The 18,390-nt window shown below is 36.1% G+C and overlaps 1 protein-coding gene across 28 annotated transcripts in view; it reads right to left on the reverse strand.

Annotated features, from left to right (window-relative positions):
* The window catches only part of FAM227B (family with sequence similarity 227 member B), a 293,849-nt gene that overhangs the window by 256,077 nt on the left and 19,382 nt on the right, over positions 1-18,390 (reverse strand). For 25 of the 28 annotated variants that reach the window (XM_047432224.1, XM_047432222.1, XM_047432221.1 and 22 more), the window contains 2 exons: positions 6,730-6,961; positions 4,970-5,037 (listed from right to left, as the gene is read on the reverse strand). In XM_047432224.1, coding sequence (XP_047288180.1) covers positions 4,970-5,037; positions 6,730-6,961 — 300 coding nt within the window. The remainder of the gene's footprint in view (positions 1-4,969; positions 5,038-6,729; positions 6,962-18,390) is intronic. The other 3 variants (XM_017021996.2, XM_011521322.2, XM_011521320.2) reach the window with 1 other exon arrangement.

An 18,390-nucleotide genomic window follows, 5' to 3' on the forward strand; every position in this document is an offset into this window, starting at 1 on the left:
CTAACATCACAACTAAAAGAACCAGGGAATCAAAAGAAAACCAAACCCAAAGCTAGCAGAAGACAAAAATAACCAAAATCAGAGCTGAACTGAAGGAGACTGAGACACAAAAAAAATTGAGAAGATCAACAAATCCAGGACAACTCCCGTATTTGTTTTTTTTTTTAATTAACAAAATAGACTGCTAGCTAGACTAATAAAGAGGAAAACAGAGAAGAATCAAATAAACACAATCAGAAATGATAAGGGAATAGGAGGTCAGCACAAAAGTTTACAGATCATAAAGGCCTTGCTGATAAAACAGGTTGCAGTAAAGGAGGCGGCCAAAACCCACCAAAACCAAAATGGCGACGAGAGTGAGAGACCTCAAGTCATCCTCACTGCTACACTCCCACCAGCACCATGACAGTTTACAAATGACATGACAATGTCAGGAGGTTACTCTTTTTGGTCTAAAAAGGGGAGGCATGAATAATCCACCCGTTGTTTAGCATATCATCAAAAATAACCACAAAAATGGGTAACCAGCAGCCCTTGGGGCTCCTCTGTCTATGGAGTAGCCATTTTTTCATTCCTTTACTTTCTTAATAAACTTGCTTTCACTTGGCAAAAAAAAAAAAAAAATTATATGGGGGATATCACCTCTGACCCCACAGAAATACAACCATCGGAGAATACTATAAGCACCTCTGTCCACATAAACTAGAAAATCTGGAAGAAACTGATAAATTCCTGGACACATATACCCTCCCAAGACTGAGCCAAAAAGAAATTGAATCCCTGAACAGACCAATAATGAGGTCTGAAATTGAATCAGTAATAAATAGCCTATCAACCTATTAAAGCCCACGACCAGATAAATTCACAACTGAATTCTACCAGATGTACAAAGAAGGGCTGGTACCATACCTGCTGAAACTATTCCAAAAACTTAAGGAAGAAGGACTCCTCCCTAACTCATTCTATGAGGCCAGCATCATCCTGTCACTAAAACCGGGCAGAGATAACAACAAAAAAAGAGAACTACAGGCCAATACTCTTGATGAACATTGATGCAAAAATCCTCAACAAAATACTGGCAAATTGAATCCAGCAGTACATCAAAAAGCTTATCCACCACAATCAAGTAGGCTTTATCCCTGGGATGCAAAATTGGATCAATATATGCAAATCAATAAATGTGATTCATCACATAAACAAAACTCAAATAAAAAAATGACATGATTATCTCAATAGATGCAGAAAAGGCTTTCATTAAAATTCAACATCCTTTCATGTGAAAAACTCTCATTAAACTACATATTGAAGGTACATACCTCAAAATAATAACAGCCAACTATGACAAACTTACAGCCAATGTCATAATAAATAGGCAAAAGCTGGAAGCATTCCCCTTGAAAACTGGCACAAGAAAAGGATGCCCTCTCTCACCACTTCTACTGAACATAGTATTGGAAGCCCTAGTCAGAGCTATCAGGCAGGAGAAAGAAATAAAGGGCATCCAAATAGAAAGAAAGGAAGTCATACTACCCTGTTTTCAGGTGACATTATCCTATACCTAGAAACCCTATAGTCTCAAAAGCTCCTTAAGCTGATAAACAACTTCAGCGAAGTCTCAGGATACAAAATTAATGTATAAAAATCATTAGTACTCCTATATACCAACAACACTCAAGCCAAGAGCCAAATCAGAAACACAATCCCATTCACGATTGCCACAGACACACAAAAATATCTAGGAATACTGCTTACCAGGGAGGTGAAAGATCTCTACAAGAACTACAAAACACTTCTCGGATCTAATTAAACTAAAGAGCTTCTGCACAGCAAAAGAAACTACCATCAGAGTGAACAGGCAACCTACAGAATGGGAGAAAATTTTTGCAACCTACTCATCTGACAAAGGGCTAATATCCAGAATCTACAATGAACTCAAACAAATTACAAGAAAAAAACAAACAACCCCATCAAAAAGTGGGCGAAGGATATGAACAGACACTTCTCTAAAGAAGACATTTATGCAGCCAAAAAACACATGAAAAAATGCTCATCATCACTGGCCATCAGAGAAATGCAAATCAAAACCACAATGAGATACCATCTCACACCAGTTAGAATGGCAATCATTAAAAAGTCAGGAAACAACAGGTGCTGGAGAGGATGTGGAGAAATAGGAACACTTTTACACTGTTGGTGGGGACTGTAAACTAGTTCAACCATTGTGGAAGTCAATGTGGCGATTCCTCAGAGATCTAGAACTGGAAATACCATTTGACCCAGCCATCCCATTACTGGGTATATACCCAAAGGATTATAAATCATGCTGCTATAAAGACACATGCACACGTATGCTTACTGCGGCACTATTCACAATAGCAAAGACTTGGAACCAAGCCAAATGTCCAACAATGATAGACTGGATTAAGAAAATGTGGCACATATACACCATGGAATACTATGCAGCCATAAAAAATGATGAGTTCATGTCCTTTGTAGGGACATGGATGAAGATGGAAACCATCATTCTCAGCAAACTATCTCAAGGACAAAAAACCAAACACTGCATGTTCTCACTTATAGGTGGGAATTGAACAATGAGAACACATGGACACAGGAAGGGGAACATCACACACCGGGGACTGTTGTGGGGTGGGTGGAGGGGGGAGGGATAGCAGTAGGAGATATACCTAATGCTAAATGACGAGTTAATGTGTGCAACACACCAACATGGCACATGTATACATATGTAACTAACCTGCACATTGTGCACATGTACCCTAAAACTTAAAGTATAATAATAAAATTAAATTAAATTGAAAAGAAATCAGAGATGATACAAACAAATGGAAAAACGTTCCATGCTCGTGAACAGGAAGAATCAATATCGTTAAAATGACCATAACTTCCCAAAGCAATATGTAGATTCAATGCTATTCCTATTAAACTACCAATCACATTATTCACAGAACTAGAAAAGGCTCTTTTTTAAATTCATATGGAACCAAAAATAGAGCTAAAATACCCAAGACAATCCTAAGTAAAAAAAACAACAAAGCTGGGGGCATGATGCTACTTAACTTCAAACTATTACAAACTACAGGGCTACAGCCACCCAAACAGCATGGAACTGGTACAAAAAGAGACACACAGACCAATGGAACAGAATAAAGAACTCATAAATAAGGCCACACATCTACAACTACCTGATCTTTGATAAAGCTGACAAAAACCAGCAATGGGAAAAGGACTCCCTATTCAATAAATAATGCTGGGATAACTGGCTAGCCATATGCAGAAGATTGAAACTGGACCTTTTCCTTGCACCTTATACAAAAGTTAACTCAAGATAGATTAAAGACCAAAATGTAAAACCCAAAACTATGAAAACCCTGGAAGACAACCTAGGTAATACCATTCTGGACATAGGTATGGGCAAAGATTTCATGACAAAAATGGCAAATGCAATTGCAACAAAAGCAAAAAATGACAAATAGGATCCAATTGAACTAAAGAGCTTCTGCATAGCAAAATAAACTACCAACAGAGTAAACAACCAACCTACAGAATGGGAGAAAATATTTGCAAACTACGCATCTTACAAAGGTCTAATATCCAACTCACACGGAACTTAATAAGAAAAAAGCACATAACCCCATTAAAAAGTGGGCAAAAGGCATGAACAAACACTTTTCAAAAGAAAACATATATGCAGCCAACAAACATGAAAAAAACTCAACATCACTGATCATTAGAGAAGTGCAAATCAAAACCGCAATGAGATACCATCTCACATCAGTCAGAATAACTGTTATTAAAAAGTCAAAAAATAACAGAAGCTGACGAGGTTGCAGAGAAAAGGGAATGCTTATAATACACAGCTGGTGGGAATATAAATTAGTTCAGCCACTGTGGGAAGCAGTTTGATGATTTCTGAAAGAACTCAAAAGGAATATATATCATTCTACCATAAAGACACATGCAAATACATGTTCACTGCAGCACTATTCACAATAGCAAAGGCATGGAATCAACCTAAATGCCCATCAATGGTTGACTGCATAAAGAAAATGTGGTATATATACACCACGGAATACTATGCAGCCCTAAGAAACAACAAGATCATGTCCTTTGCAGGTATATGGATCCAGCTGGAGGCCATTATCCTTAGCAAACTAATGCAGGAACAGAAAAACAAATACTGCATGTTCTCACTTTTAAGTGGGAGCTAAATTATGAGAACACATGAACTCATAGAGGAGAACAACAGACACTGGGGCCTATTGAAGGGTGGATGGCAGGAGGAGGGAGAAAATCAGGAAAAATAACTAATGGGCACTAAGTTTAATACCTGGGTGACAAAATAATCTGTACAGCAAACCCGCATGTCACAAGTTTATTTATATAACAAACCTGCACATGTAACCCTGAACTGAAAATAAAAGTTAAATTTTTAAAAATAAAGCATTAAATGAGGTGGCTAGACTAATGGTGATACAAAGTTTTTCTAGCTCTAACATTATATAATTTTAGAACATATTTTTAAAAAGACTAAGTATCTGAAAGTAATTCAAAACACTTGCCATTTTTATCAAAATCTCAAAAATATTTTTTAAAATTGGCAAAGTAAAGGTCATCAAAAAGAATTATTAATTTTCTAAAATAAGAGGGCTGATATAGGACCTGCACTACTAAGTATGTTATAAATTATTAAATAACCAAAAAATGTAATAGTATACCTTGAAATAAGTCTTCAAATAACTTGTAGTTATGTGAAGATGCCAATACTCAGTAATACTGAGTATGAAAAGAAAGTAAGTGCAGCTATCTTTAAAACATAGAGATAGATTGGTAACAGTAGACTAAAAGGACATTTACAAAAGTGTTATTAGTGCTCATCTGTGGAAATGTAGTGTTTATATTTTCTGTGAAAATCCAACTTTCAAGGATGATAAAAACATAGATACCATACCATTATCTTTTTTTTCTTATGGTACTTCTTTAGAAATTCCCCATATCGTTCCAATTTTCTATAAGAACCTTTAAGAAAATAAGAATTCACAGTATATATATTATACATATGAACCTCCTCTAAAAATAAACAAAATTTTAAATACTTTAAACAAATTATATACAAAATTATTCAATGAAATCAATTAGCAATTGTGATAAGTATATGTTAATACACACTGTTAGCTGAATGAATAACTGGAATTATTATATAAAGTATATCTTCTGTTTCCTTTTTCTGAAATACCATGTTCCAACTAACATGTCTGTGGCACTTACTCCTATGTCTAAACTTTTATGTCAATCCCTTCTCCTAAAAAAGTCCACATTTTTCAAATAGCTCAGCCACTTACACTTGGTTGTTTCATGGTCACCTTAATTTCAATAAAGTGCAGTACTGTGGAGCAGGGCACAGTGAGACAATATGGGGGGCTCTGAAGTCAGATAACCGAGATAGACTTGAATCCAAGTTCTGATATCTACATATTGAGGACTATATATATATATATATATATATATATATATATATATATATATATATATATATAAAATTACCTTTTTTAAAAAACAGAAGGAAGATATGAAAGGATATGTTCATACTTTGTTTACTTGTGGGTATTTTATTTCATTACAAGACGAATTTATACACACACATGGGTGTCTGTGTGTATGTGTGTATGCAAGCTATATATATGTGTGTGTATTTATATATACATACACAGAAGCTATACATAACTTTTATACATTAAAAATATAAACTTTTAAAAATTTACAGTTTAAATATGAAAATTTTTAAAAAGTTAATTTAATAGAAGTGTATTTAAACACATCTTCAGAATTACACAAATCTTAGTTCAAAAAAGAATATTAAATACCAAAATAACATAATGAATCTAATACCTAAAAACACTTTATAAGTACAATTAGTATCATTTCCAAGACTTATATATATGACAAATTTGCCCATTAAATCAAGAATAAGACAAGAATAATTATAAGTATTTAAAACTATTCTGGAAATGTTAATACAATTAGATAAGAAAAATGTTATACAAATATTGAAAAGAAGTAAAAATTATCATTACTTGCTGTATGCTTTGTCATTCATTCAGCTATTCCATAGTGAATACCAGCTACCCCTAGAAACTAGCCTGAGAGCCCATATAGGTTAACTATCACCCCTTTTACTTTCAGTTTCAGATATTTCTGTTCTATCCTGACCCTTACTGATATGTTTGTTTCTAGTAAGAATATTAGTTGATGCAATCTTGCTCTCCTGTTTTCCTAATACTCTGTACCTCCACTCCAATTTAACAAAAGCTTAACAGTTTAACAACTGTTTTAAGGCTTTGTTTTAGTAATACTTCCTTTGAAACCACATATTTCTGTTCAACTAAAAAAATCTGTATTGAACCATTTTGAAATGAAGAGGTTTTAAAATAAAATATTTTTAATATTTGTACCTTAGAATTTCATTCTTTATGAGATTACACACACACACACACACACACACACACACACACACACACACACACAGACAACTGACCATTACTTTACTAACACAAAAAATAAGGACTGGCCAGGTGCACTGGCTTATGCCTGTAATTCCAACACTTTTGGAGGGTGACTCAGGAGGATCACTTGAGGCCAAGATTTGGAGACCAGCCTGGGAAACATAGTGAGACTCCATTTCTATAAAAGATAAAAATAAATAAGGCTCACTTGTCTCAGAAATCATGCTTTTCCACTTAAATATTTCAGAGGTGTGGTTTTGCAAAATAAGTGAATATTCCTTTAATTTTGATTCCATGATCAAAAGTGCTTCAAATATTCGAGGAACATTTTCCCATAGGTGTGTATAAATTGAAACAAATGAACTATCTTCTTTTATTTTTTTCAGAGTGCATGACCATTTATCATCATCTCTAAAATGGATTTCCCTTGGCCAATAATCCTGCAAAAAACGTGAAAGAGAGAATATAGCTTAAGTCATTTTTAATGAATTTAAATAATAGAGTTCAAAACCAATGAGCTATAATCGAGATTTTATTCCACAGCATTGTTTTTTATCACTTTTTAAAAATTTGAAACAATCACAAACGTCAGAAAAGTTACAAGTCCTTTACTAAAACTATTTTCCTGAATCATTTGAGAATAATTTGCTTATATGATAGCCCATCATCCTTTAAAACGTCAATGTATATTTCCAAAAACCAAAAACATTCTCCTACATAATAAATGCAACCATTAGAATCAGGAAATTGGCACTGATACATTATTTATATTTAATACAAAGACTCTATTCAAGTTTCAGTGGAACCAATTATGCCCTTTATAGCAAAAGAATCTAGTTCAGAATAAAAATGTTAAGTTTTGGCTTCATGTCTCTTTGGTCCCTTTCAGTCTACGACAGTTCCATAATATCTGTGGGGAAGGGAAGGGGGAAGATTAGAAGAGATAATTTTAACTTATTTTCATTTTTTTCTAGTTTTATTAAAGTATAATTGACAAATTAAAATTGTAAATATTTATGATGTACAATGTGAAGCTTCGATAAATGTATAGACTGTGCAATGACTGCCAAAAAGGTAATTAACATATCCATCACCTCACAGAGTTTATGTGTTGAGAACATTTAAGATCTACTCTATTAGCAATTTTCAAGTACACCATACATTATTATTAACTGTAATCATCATGCTGACCAATTGATCCCCAGAATTTCTCTCTCCTGTCTGAAACTTTGCACCCTTTAATCCATTTCTCCCTTTCTTTCACAAGCCCCAGTAAGACTCCATTCTACTCTCTGCTCCTATGAGTTCCATTTTTATACATTCCACTTATAAGTGAGATCATGCCACAGTTGCCTTTTTGTGCCTGGCTTATTTTACATAGCATCATGTCCTCCAAGATCATCCACACTGTCAAAAATAGAGAGATCTCTCTCTTCTTTTCTTTCTCTTTCTCTTTTTTTTGTTTTTTTTTTTTTTGATTTTTTTTTTTTTTTTTTGAGACAGAGTCTCGCTCTGTCGCCCAGGTGGAGTGCAGTGGTGCGATCTTGGCTCACTGCAAGCTCCGCCTCCTGGGTTCACGCCATTCTCCTGCCTCAGCCTCCTGAGTAGTTGGGACTACAGGCACAGCCTCCCGAGTAGTTGGGACTACAGGCGCCCGCCACCATGCCCGGCTAATTTTTTGTATTTTTAGTAGAGACGGGGTTTGTGTTATCCAGGATGGTCTCAATCACCTGACCCCGTAATCCGCCTGCCTCAGCCTCCCAAAGTGCTGGGATTATAGGTGTGAGCCACCACACCCTCCCTCCCTCCCTCCCTTCCCTCCCTCCCTCCTTCCTTCCTTCCCTCCTTCCGTCCTTCCTCAGCCTCCCAAAGTGCTGGGATTACAGGCATAAGCCACTGCACCTGGCCCTTCCTTCCTTTTTTTTTTTTTTTTTTTTTTTTGGAGTCTTGCTCTGTTGCCCAGGCTGGAGTGCAGTGGCACGATCTTGGCTCGCCACAACCTCCGCCTCCAAGGTTCAAGCGATTCTCCTGCCTCAGCCTCCCAAGTAGCTGGGATTACAGGCACGTGCCACCATGCCCAACTAATTTTTGTATTTTTTAATAGAGATGGGGTTTCACTATGTTGGCCAGGCTGGTCTTGAACTCCTGACCTTGTGATCTGCTCACCTCGGCCTCCCAAAATGCTGCGATTACAGGCATGAGCCACTGTGCCCAGCCTTTCTTAAGGCTGAATAATATTCTATTTTGTGTATGTGTGCATGTATACACATGCACACACACAAAGAAAATGTGTTCTATGTATATACAGCCACACACACACACCATATTTTCTTTTTCCATTCTTATGTTGAAAAGCACTTAGGTTGATTCCATATCTTTCTTCCACTTGATCGAATTGGCTATTGAAGCTTGTGCACGTCATGAAGTTCTCATGGCATGGTTTTCTGCTCCATCAGGTCATTTAAGCCCTTCTCTCCACTGTTTATTCTAGTTAGCTATTCGTCTTTTTTTCAAGGTTTTTAGCTTCCTTGCGATGGGTTAGAACATGTTCCTTTAGCTCACAGAAGTTTGTTATTACTGACCTCCTAGAGCCTACTTCTGTCAACTCATCAAAGTCATTCTCTGTCCAGCTTTGTTCCATTGCTGGCAAGGGGCTGAGATCCTTTGGAGAAGAGGTGCTCTGGTTTTTAGAATTTTCAGATTTTCTGCTCTGGTTTCTCCCCATCTTTGTGGTTTTATCTAACTTTGGTCTTTGATGTTGGTGACCTACAGAAGAAGTTTTGGTGTGGATGTCCTTTTTGTGGATGTTGATGCTATTCCTTTCTGTTTCATAATTTTTCTTCTAACAATCAGGTCCCTCAACTGCAGGTCTGTTGGAGTTTGCTGGTGGTCCACTCCAGACCCTGTTTGCCTGGGTATCACCAGCGGAGGCTGCAGAACAGCAAATATTGAAGAACAGAAAATATTGTTGTCTGATCCTTACTCTGGAAGCTTCGTCCCACAGTTGCACTTGCCTGTATGAGGTGTCTGTTGGCCCCTACTGGGAGGTGTCTCCCAGTTAGGCTACACAGTGGTCAGGGATCCACTTGAGGAGGCAGTCTGTCCATTCTCAGAGATCAAATGCCATGCTGGGAGAACCACTGCTCTCTTCAGAGCTGTCAGATAGGGACGTTTAAGTCTGCAGAAGTTGTCTGCTGCCTTTTGTTCAGCTATGCCCTGCCCACAGAGGTGGAGTATATAGAGGCAGTAGGCCTTGCTGAGCTGCAGTGGGCTCCACCCAGTTCAAGCTTCCTGCCCACTTTGTTTACCTACTCAAGCCTCAGCAATGGTGGACACCCCTCCCCCGACCAGGCTTCAGCCTCGCAGATCTCAGACTGCTGCACCAGCAGTGAGCAAAGTTCCGTGGGCGTGGGACCCACTGAGCCAGGCACAGGAGAGAATCTCCTGGTCTGCCAGTTGCTAATACCGTGGGAAAGGCACAGTATTTGGGCAGAAGTGTACTGATTTTCCAGGTACAGTCTGTCACGGCTTCCCTTGACTAGGAAAGGGAAATTCCCTGACCCCTTGCGCTTCCTGGGTGAGGTGATGCCCCGCCCTGCTTTGGCTCACCTCCGAGGGCTGCACCCTCTGTCCAACCAGTCCCAATGAGATGAAGCAGGTACCTCAGTCGGAAATGCAGAAATCACCCGTCTTCTGCACCAATCACACAGGAGCTGTAGACTGGAGCTGTTCCTATTCGGCCATTTTGGAACTGCTCTCATCTCAATTTCTTTCATCAATATTTTACAGTTTTCAGCATATAGAGCATTTACTTTCTTATTTTAAAAATTTTTTTTGCTGTCAGAATCTGCATTTTATTTTTTATTTTTATTTTTGTTATTTTTTAATTTCAATAGTTTTGGGGGAACAGGTGGTTTTCGTTACATGAATAGGTTCTTCAGTGGTGATTTCTGAGATTTTGGTGCACCTATCACCCGAGCAGTATACACTGTACCCAATGTGTAGTCTTTTGTACCTCAACCCCCGAACCCTTCCCCCAAGTCCCCAAAGTCCACTGTAACATTCTTATGCTTTTGTGTCCTCATAGCTTAGCTGCCACTTGTAAGTGAGAACATACGATATTTGATTTTCCATTCTTAAGTTACTTCACTTAGAATAATGGCTCCAACTCCATCCAGGTTGCTTCAAATGCCATTATTTGGTTCCTTTTTATGGCTGAGTAGTATTCTATGGTATATGTACACCACATTTTATCAACTTGTTGATTGGGCATTTGGGCTGGTTCCATATTTTTGCAAATGCAAATTGTGCAGCTATAAACATGCGAGTGCAAGTGTCTTTTTTATATAATGACTTCTTTTCCTCTGGGTACATATCTAATAGTGGGATTACTGGATCAAATGGTAGATCTACTTTTAGTTCTTCAAGGAATCTCCATACTGTTTTCCATAGTGATTGTACTACTTTACATTCACACCAACAGAGTAAAAGTGTTCCATTTCCACCATATCCACAACTATATTATATATAATTTTTTAATTTTGGCAATTCTCGCAGGAGTAAGGTGGTATTGCATTGTGGTTTTGATTTGTATTTCCCTGATAATTAATGATGTTGAGCATTTTTTTCACAGGTTTTTTGGCCATTTGTATATCTTCTTTTGAGAATTGTCTATTCATATCCTTAGCCCACTTTTTGATGGAATTATTTCTTTTTTTTCTTGCTGATTTGAGTTCCTTGTAGACTCTGGATATTAGTCCTTTGTCCAATGCACAGTTTACAAAGACTTTTTTGCAACTCTATGGGTTGTCTGTTTACTCTGCTGATTATTTATTTTGCTGTGCAGAAGACTTTTAGTTTAATTAAGTCCCATCTATTTATCTTGGTTTTTGTTGCATTTGTTTTGGGGCTCTTGGTCATGAAGTCTTTGCCTCTGCCAATGTCTAGAAGGGTTTTTCCAATATTATCTTCAGATCGTTATGGTTTCAGGTCTTAGACTTAAGTCTTTGATCCATCTTGATTTGGTTATTGTATATGGTGAGACATGAGGATCCAGTTTCATCCTTTTAACATGTGGCTTGCCAATTATCCCACCAACATTTGTTGAACAGGGTTTCCCTCCCCCACTTTATGCTTTTGTTTGCTTTGTTGAAGATCAGTTGGCTGTCAATATTTGACTTTATTTAAAGGTTCTCTGTTCTGTCCATTGGCTTATATGCCTGTTTTTATACCAGTACCATGCTGTTTTGGTGACTACAGCCTTATAGTGTAGTTTGAAGTTGGGTATTATAATGCCTCCAGATTTGTTCTTTTTGCTTAGTTTTGCTTTGGGCATGAAGGCATTTTTTTGGTTACATATAAATTTTAGGACTGTTTTTTCTAGTTCTGTGAAGAATGATTATGTTATTTTGATGGGAATTACACTGAATTTGTAGATTGCTTTTGGCAGTACGGTCATTTTCACGATATTGATTCTACCCACCATGAATATGAGATGTGTTTCCATTTGTTTGTGTCATCTATGATTTCTTTCAGTAGTGTTTTATAGTTTATCTTGTAGAGGTCTTTCATCTCCTTGGTTAGACATACTCCTAAGTATTTTTAATTTTATTTTATATTGTATTAATTTAATTTAATTAATTGTAAAAGAGGTGGAGTTCCTGATTTGATTCTCAGCTTGGTTGTTATTTGTATATAGCAGTGCTACTGATTTGTATACACTGATATTGTATCCTGAGACTTTACTGAAATCATTTATCAGATCTAGGAGCTTTTCAAATTAGTCTTTATCATCTTCTAGGTATATAATCATATCAACAGTGAACAGTGACAGTTTGACATACTCTTTACCTATTTGGATGCCCCTATTTCTTTCCCTTATCTGATTGTTCTAGCTAGGACTTCAGTACTGGGTTGAATAGAAGTGGTGAAAGTGGGCATACTTGTCTTGTTCAAGTTCTCAGAAGGAATGTTTTAAACATTTCCCTGTTCAGTATAATGTTGGCTGTGGGTTTGACATAGCTTTTATTACCTTAAGGTATGTCCCTTCTATGTTGATTTTGCTGAGGGTTTTAATCATAAAGGGATGCTGAATTTTGTACTCAAGAAAGCACCGAGAAAGGGGAAAACAAACATGAGGGAATTAAAATTAAATACAGAATATGGACAACAAAAACTCCAGAGAAATACATATCATAAATAAAAATCACAAATTCTGGAATGAAAGACACACTTAGAAAAACGCAAAAGACATTGAAAAGTTTCAACAATAGAATCAAACAAGTAGAATAAAGAACTTCAGAGCTCAAAATCAAGAAGGCTTTTAAATTGACCCAGTCCAACAAAGACAAAGGAAAAATAATTTTTTTAAAAATGAACAAAGCCTCCAAGGAGTCTGAGATTATGTTACATGACCAAACCTAAAAATAACTGGTATTCCTGAGGAGGAAATCTGAAAGTTTCAAAAACTTACTTGAGGGAATAATCAAGAAAGACTTCCCTGCCTTGCTAGAAATCTAGACATGCAAACAGAGGAAGCTCAATGGACATCCAGGAAATTCATTGCAATATAATCATCACCTAGGCACACAGTCATTAGGTTATCTAAAGTCGAAACAAAGTAAAGAATTTTAAGAGCTATGAGGCAAAAGCATCAGGTAACCTATAGAGGAAAACCTATCAGATTAACAGATTTTTCAGCAGAAACATTATAAGCCAGAAGAGACTGGGGTCCTACCTTTAGCCTCCTTAAACAAAATTATTATCAGTTAAGAATTTTGTATCCAGCAAAACTAAGATTCATAAATGAAGACAAGATAAAGTCCTCTTCAGACAAACAAATGATGAGAGAGAGACTACCAAGCCAGCACTAAAAGAACTGCTAAAAGGAGTTCTAAATCTTGAAACAAATCTTGAAAACAAAACAAAACAAAACAAAACAAAATAGAACATCCTTAAGGCATAAATCTCACAGGGCCTATAAAACAATAACACAAAGAAAAAAAACCATGGTATTCAAGTAACAACTGGCATGATGAATAGAATAGTACCTCATATCTCAATACATTGGATGTAAATGGCCTAAATGCTCCACTTAGAAGATACAGAATGGCAGAATGGATAAGAATTCATCAACCCAGTATCTGTTATCTTCAAGAGACTCACCTAACACATAAAGACTCACATAAACTTAAGGTAAAGGGGTGGAAAATGATATTCCATGCAAATTCACACCAAAAGTGCAGGAGTAGCTATTCTTGTATCAGACAAAATAAACTTTAAAGCAACAAGAGTTAAAAAAGACAAAGAGGGACATTATATAATGATGAAAGGCCTAGTCCAACAGGAAAATATCACAATCCTAAATATATATGCACCTAAAACTGCAGCTCCCAAATTTACAAAACAATTACTACTATACCTAAAAAATGAGATAGATGGGAACACAATAATAGTGGGGGACTTCAATACTCCACTGACAGCACCAAACAAGTCATCAAAAGAGAAAGTCAACAAAGAAATTATGGACTTAAACTATACCCTACAACAAATGGACTTAACAGATATTTACAGAACATACTGGCCAACAAATGCAGAATATACATTCTATTCATCAGCTCATGAAACATTCTCCAAGATAGACCATGTGACAGGCCACAAAACAAGTCTCAATAAATTCAAGAAAATCAAAATTACATAAAGTACTCTTTCAGACCACAATTGAATAAAATTGGAAATCCACTCCAGAAAGAACCCTTAAAACCATGCAAATACCTGGAAATAAAATAACCTGCTCCTGAATGGTCGGTGGGTCAACAATGAAATCAAGATGGAAATTTAAAAATTGAACTGAACAATAATATTGACACAACCTATCAAAACCTCTAAGGTACAGCAAAACCAGTGCTAAGAGGAATGTTCACAGCATTGAATACCTACATCAAAAAGCCTGAAAGAGCACAAGAAGACAATCTAAGGTGACACCTCAAGGAACCAGAGAAAACAGAAACCAAACCAAACCCAAACCCAGCTGAAGAAATGAAATAAGATCACAGCAGAACTAAATGAAATTGAAGCAACAAAGACAAGACAAAGATAAACTAAACAAAAAGCTTGTTAAATTATTTGAAAAGATTAACAAAATTGACAGACCATTAGCGAGATTAAGCAAGAAAAGAAGAGAGAAGATCCAAATAAGCTCAATTAGGAAAGAAAGGGGAGATATTACAACTGATAACACAGAGATACAAAAGTTTATTCAAGGCTACTGTGAACATCTTCACACACATAAACTAGAAAACCTAGAGGAGATGGATAAATTCCTGGAAATATACAACACTCATAGATTAAACCAGGAAAAAAATAGAAACTCTGAACAGACAAATAATGAGCAGTAATATTGAAATGGTAATAAATAATTACCAACAAAAAAAAAGTCCAGGACAAGGTGGATTCACAGCTGAATTATATTAGATATTCAAAGAAGAATTGGTACCAATTCTACTGAAACTATTCCAAAAGACAGAGAAGGAGGGAATCCTCCCTAAATCATTCTATGAAGCCAGTATTACCTTAATACCAAAACTAGGAAAAGACAACAAAAAAAGCTACATGCCAATACCTCCTTCTTTAAATTTATCCATAAGTATTTTTTCATGTTATTGTAAAAGAGATTGTTTTCTTGATTTCTTTAATAGTTAATTGCTAGTACCTAGAAATACTACTCATTTTTGAATGTTGATTCCATGTTGTGCAAATTTACTGAATTCATTCAGTATTTCTAACAGTTTCTGGAATCTTTAGAGTTTTGTGTATACAAAATTATGTTATCTGCAAGAGACAATTTTACTTCTTCCTTTCCTATTTGGATGGTTTGTTTCTTTGTTTTCTAACTGCTCTAGGAGAACTTTCAATACCATAATGAATAGGAGTGCTGAGTGGGAATCCTTGTGTTGTTTCTGTTCTTAGAGGAAAACCTTTCCATTTTTCACTATTGATTATGATGTTAGATGTGGGCTTTCATATACGGTCCTTATAATCTCAAAGTACATTCCTTCTGCACCTAATTTGCTGAGAGTTTTTAAAATCATGAAGCAATGCTAAATTTTGTTAACATGCTTTTTCTTCATCTGTTGAGCTGATAATAATTTTATTCTTTATTCTGCTAATGTGGTTTATCACATTTATGGATTTGTATATGTTGAAACGTCCTTGCATCCCATGAATAAATCCTACTTGATCATGGTATATGATCCTTTTAATGTACTGTTGAATTGGGTTCGCTTGTTTTTGTTGAGGATTTTGCCATTACTATTCATCATAAGAGATAATGGTCCACAGTTTTCTTCTCTTGTCGTGTCCTTGTAGTATCAGGGTAACCCTAGCCTCATCAAATAAATTTGAAAGTATTCTTTCCTCTTCTATTTTTCAGAAGAGTCTGAGAAAGATTGATACTAATTCTTCTTTCAATGTTTGGTAGGATTCATGAGTAAAGTTAAAGGGTCCTGGGCTTTTGTTTATTGGGAGGTTTTCAATTACTGATTCAATCTCTTTACTCATTATTGGTCTGTTCAGATTTTCTATTTTTCATGATCCAGTCAAGGTAGGTTGTATGTTTCAAGGAATTTATTCATTTATTTTAGGTTATTCAATTTACTTGTATATAATTTCTCATGGTAGCCTACTATAATTATTTATATTTCTGTGGTATCAACTTCAATGTCTCCTCTTTCATTTCTGATTCTATTTATTTGAATCTTTCTTCTTTTTTTCCCTTAGTTTAGCTAGAGATTTGACAGTTTTGTTAATCTTTTCAGAAAACACAATTCAGTTTTGTTGATCATCTCTATTGTTTTTCCAGTCTCTCCATTTATTTCTGCTCTGATCTTTGTTATTTCCTTCCTTCTACTGACTTTGGGCTTAGTTAGTTCTGCTTGTTCTAGTTACTTGAGATATAAGTTAGATTGTTTATCTGAGAGTTTTTCTTAATGTAGGCATTTATTGCTATAAACTTCCCTCTTAGAAATCCTTTGTTGCATTCCATAAGTTTTGGTACATTATTTCCATTTTCATTTATCTCAAGATAATTTGATTTCCCTTTTGATTTATTCCTTGACCTACTGGCTATTCAAGAGCATTTTGTTCAATTTCCAGTTCTCCTCCTATTACTGATTTCTAGTTTAATATTATTGTGGTCACAAGAGGTACTTGATAAGACTTCAATCTTATAAAATTTGTTAAGACTTGTTTTGTGGCCCAATATATAATCCATCCTGGAGAATTTTCTTTGTGTACTTGAGAAAAATTTGCATTTTGTTGCTTTTGGATAGAATGATCTGTATGTGTCTGTTAGGACCATTTTGTCTAGAGAGTTGTTCAAGTCCTCTATTTCCATATTAATTTTCTCTCCATATGATCTATCCATTTTTGAAAATATGGCCTTAAAGTCTCCTATTGTTAATGTATTGCTGTTATTTCTCCCTTCAATTCTGTTAATATTTGCTTCATATATTTAGGTGTTCTGACACTGGGTGCATATATATTTACAATTGTTAGACACTCTTTGCAAATTGACCCTTTTATTATTATATGAATACCCTCTTTGTCTCTCTTAAAAGATTTTGACTTTAAAGCTTACTTAATCTGATAGAAGTAGAGCTATCCTAGTTCTCTTTTATTACCATTGCATAAATTTATTTTAATCATCTCTTCACCTTCAGTCTATGTGTGTCCTTAAAGCTAAAGTGAGTCTTTTGTATGCAGCATATAGCTGTTTCTTTCTTTCTTTTTTTTTTTTTTTAAATCCGGCCAGGCATGGTGGCTCATGCCTGTAATCTAAGCATTTTGAGAGGCCAAGGCGGGTGGGTCACCCGAGGTTAGGAGTTTGAGACCCACCTGACCAATATGGTGAAACCCCATCTCTACTAAAAATATAAAAATTACCCAGGTGTGGTGGTGTCTGCCTGTGGTCCCAGCTACTCAGGAGGCTGAGGCAGGGAGAATCTCTTGAACCCGGGAGGGAGAGGTTGCAGTGAGCTGAGATCGCACCACTGCACTCCAGCCTGGGTGACAGAGCAAGACCACATCTCAAAAAAAAAAAAAAAATCCAGCCAGCCACTTAACATCTGTTGATTAAAGAATTTAACCCATTTACATTTAAAGCAATTATTGACATGGAATAATTTACTACTGCCAGGCCGGGCGTGGTGGCTCACACTTATAATCCCAGCACTTCGGGAGGTTGAGGTGGGCGAATTACCAGGTCAGGAGTTCAAGACCAGCCTGGCCAACATGGTGAAACCCCATCTCTACTAAAAATACCAAAAATTAGCTGGGTGTGGTGGTGTGCGCCTGTAATCCCAGCTACACCGGAGGCTGAAGCAGGAGAATCACTTGAATCTAGGAGGCAGAGGTTGCGGTGAGTGGAGATCGCGCCATTGCACTCCAGCCTGGGTGACAGAGCAAGACTCTGTCTCAAAAAAAAAAAAAAAGAATTTAATACTACCACTTTGTTCACTGTTTTCTGATTGTTTTGTATTAGGTTGGAGCAACAGTAATTGCGGTTTTTGCCATCACTTTTAATGGCAAAAACCACAATTACTGTTGCTCCAACCTAATAGTAACTTCATTCTCTTCTTCCTCTATTCCTCTCTTCCTTTGTGATTTGATGATTTTTTAAATAATGGTACACTTTGATTCCTTTCTCTTTATCTCTTGTGTATGTACACAAGGTTTTTCCTTGTGGTTATATAAGGCTTACATAAAACATCTTACAGTTATTATGTTATATTTTGGGATGATAACAACTTCATATGTACCACATACAAAAACTCTACACTTTAACTCCCACTCTCACATTTTATGCTACTGA

The sequence above is a fragment of the Homo sapiens genome, chromosome 15 (assembly GCF_000001405.40).
Source record: "Homo sapiens chromosome 15, GRCh38.p14 Primary Assembly".
NCBI classification, from domain to species: Eukaryota; Metazoa; Chordata; class Mammalia; order Primates; family Hominidae; genus Homo; species Homo sapiens.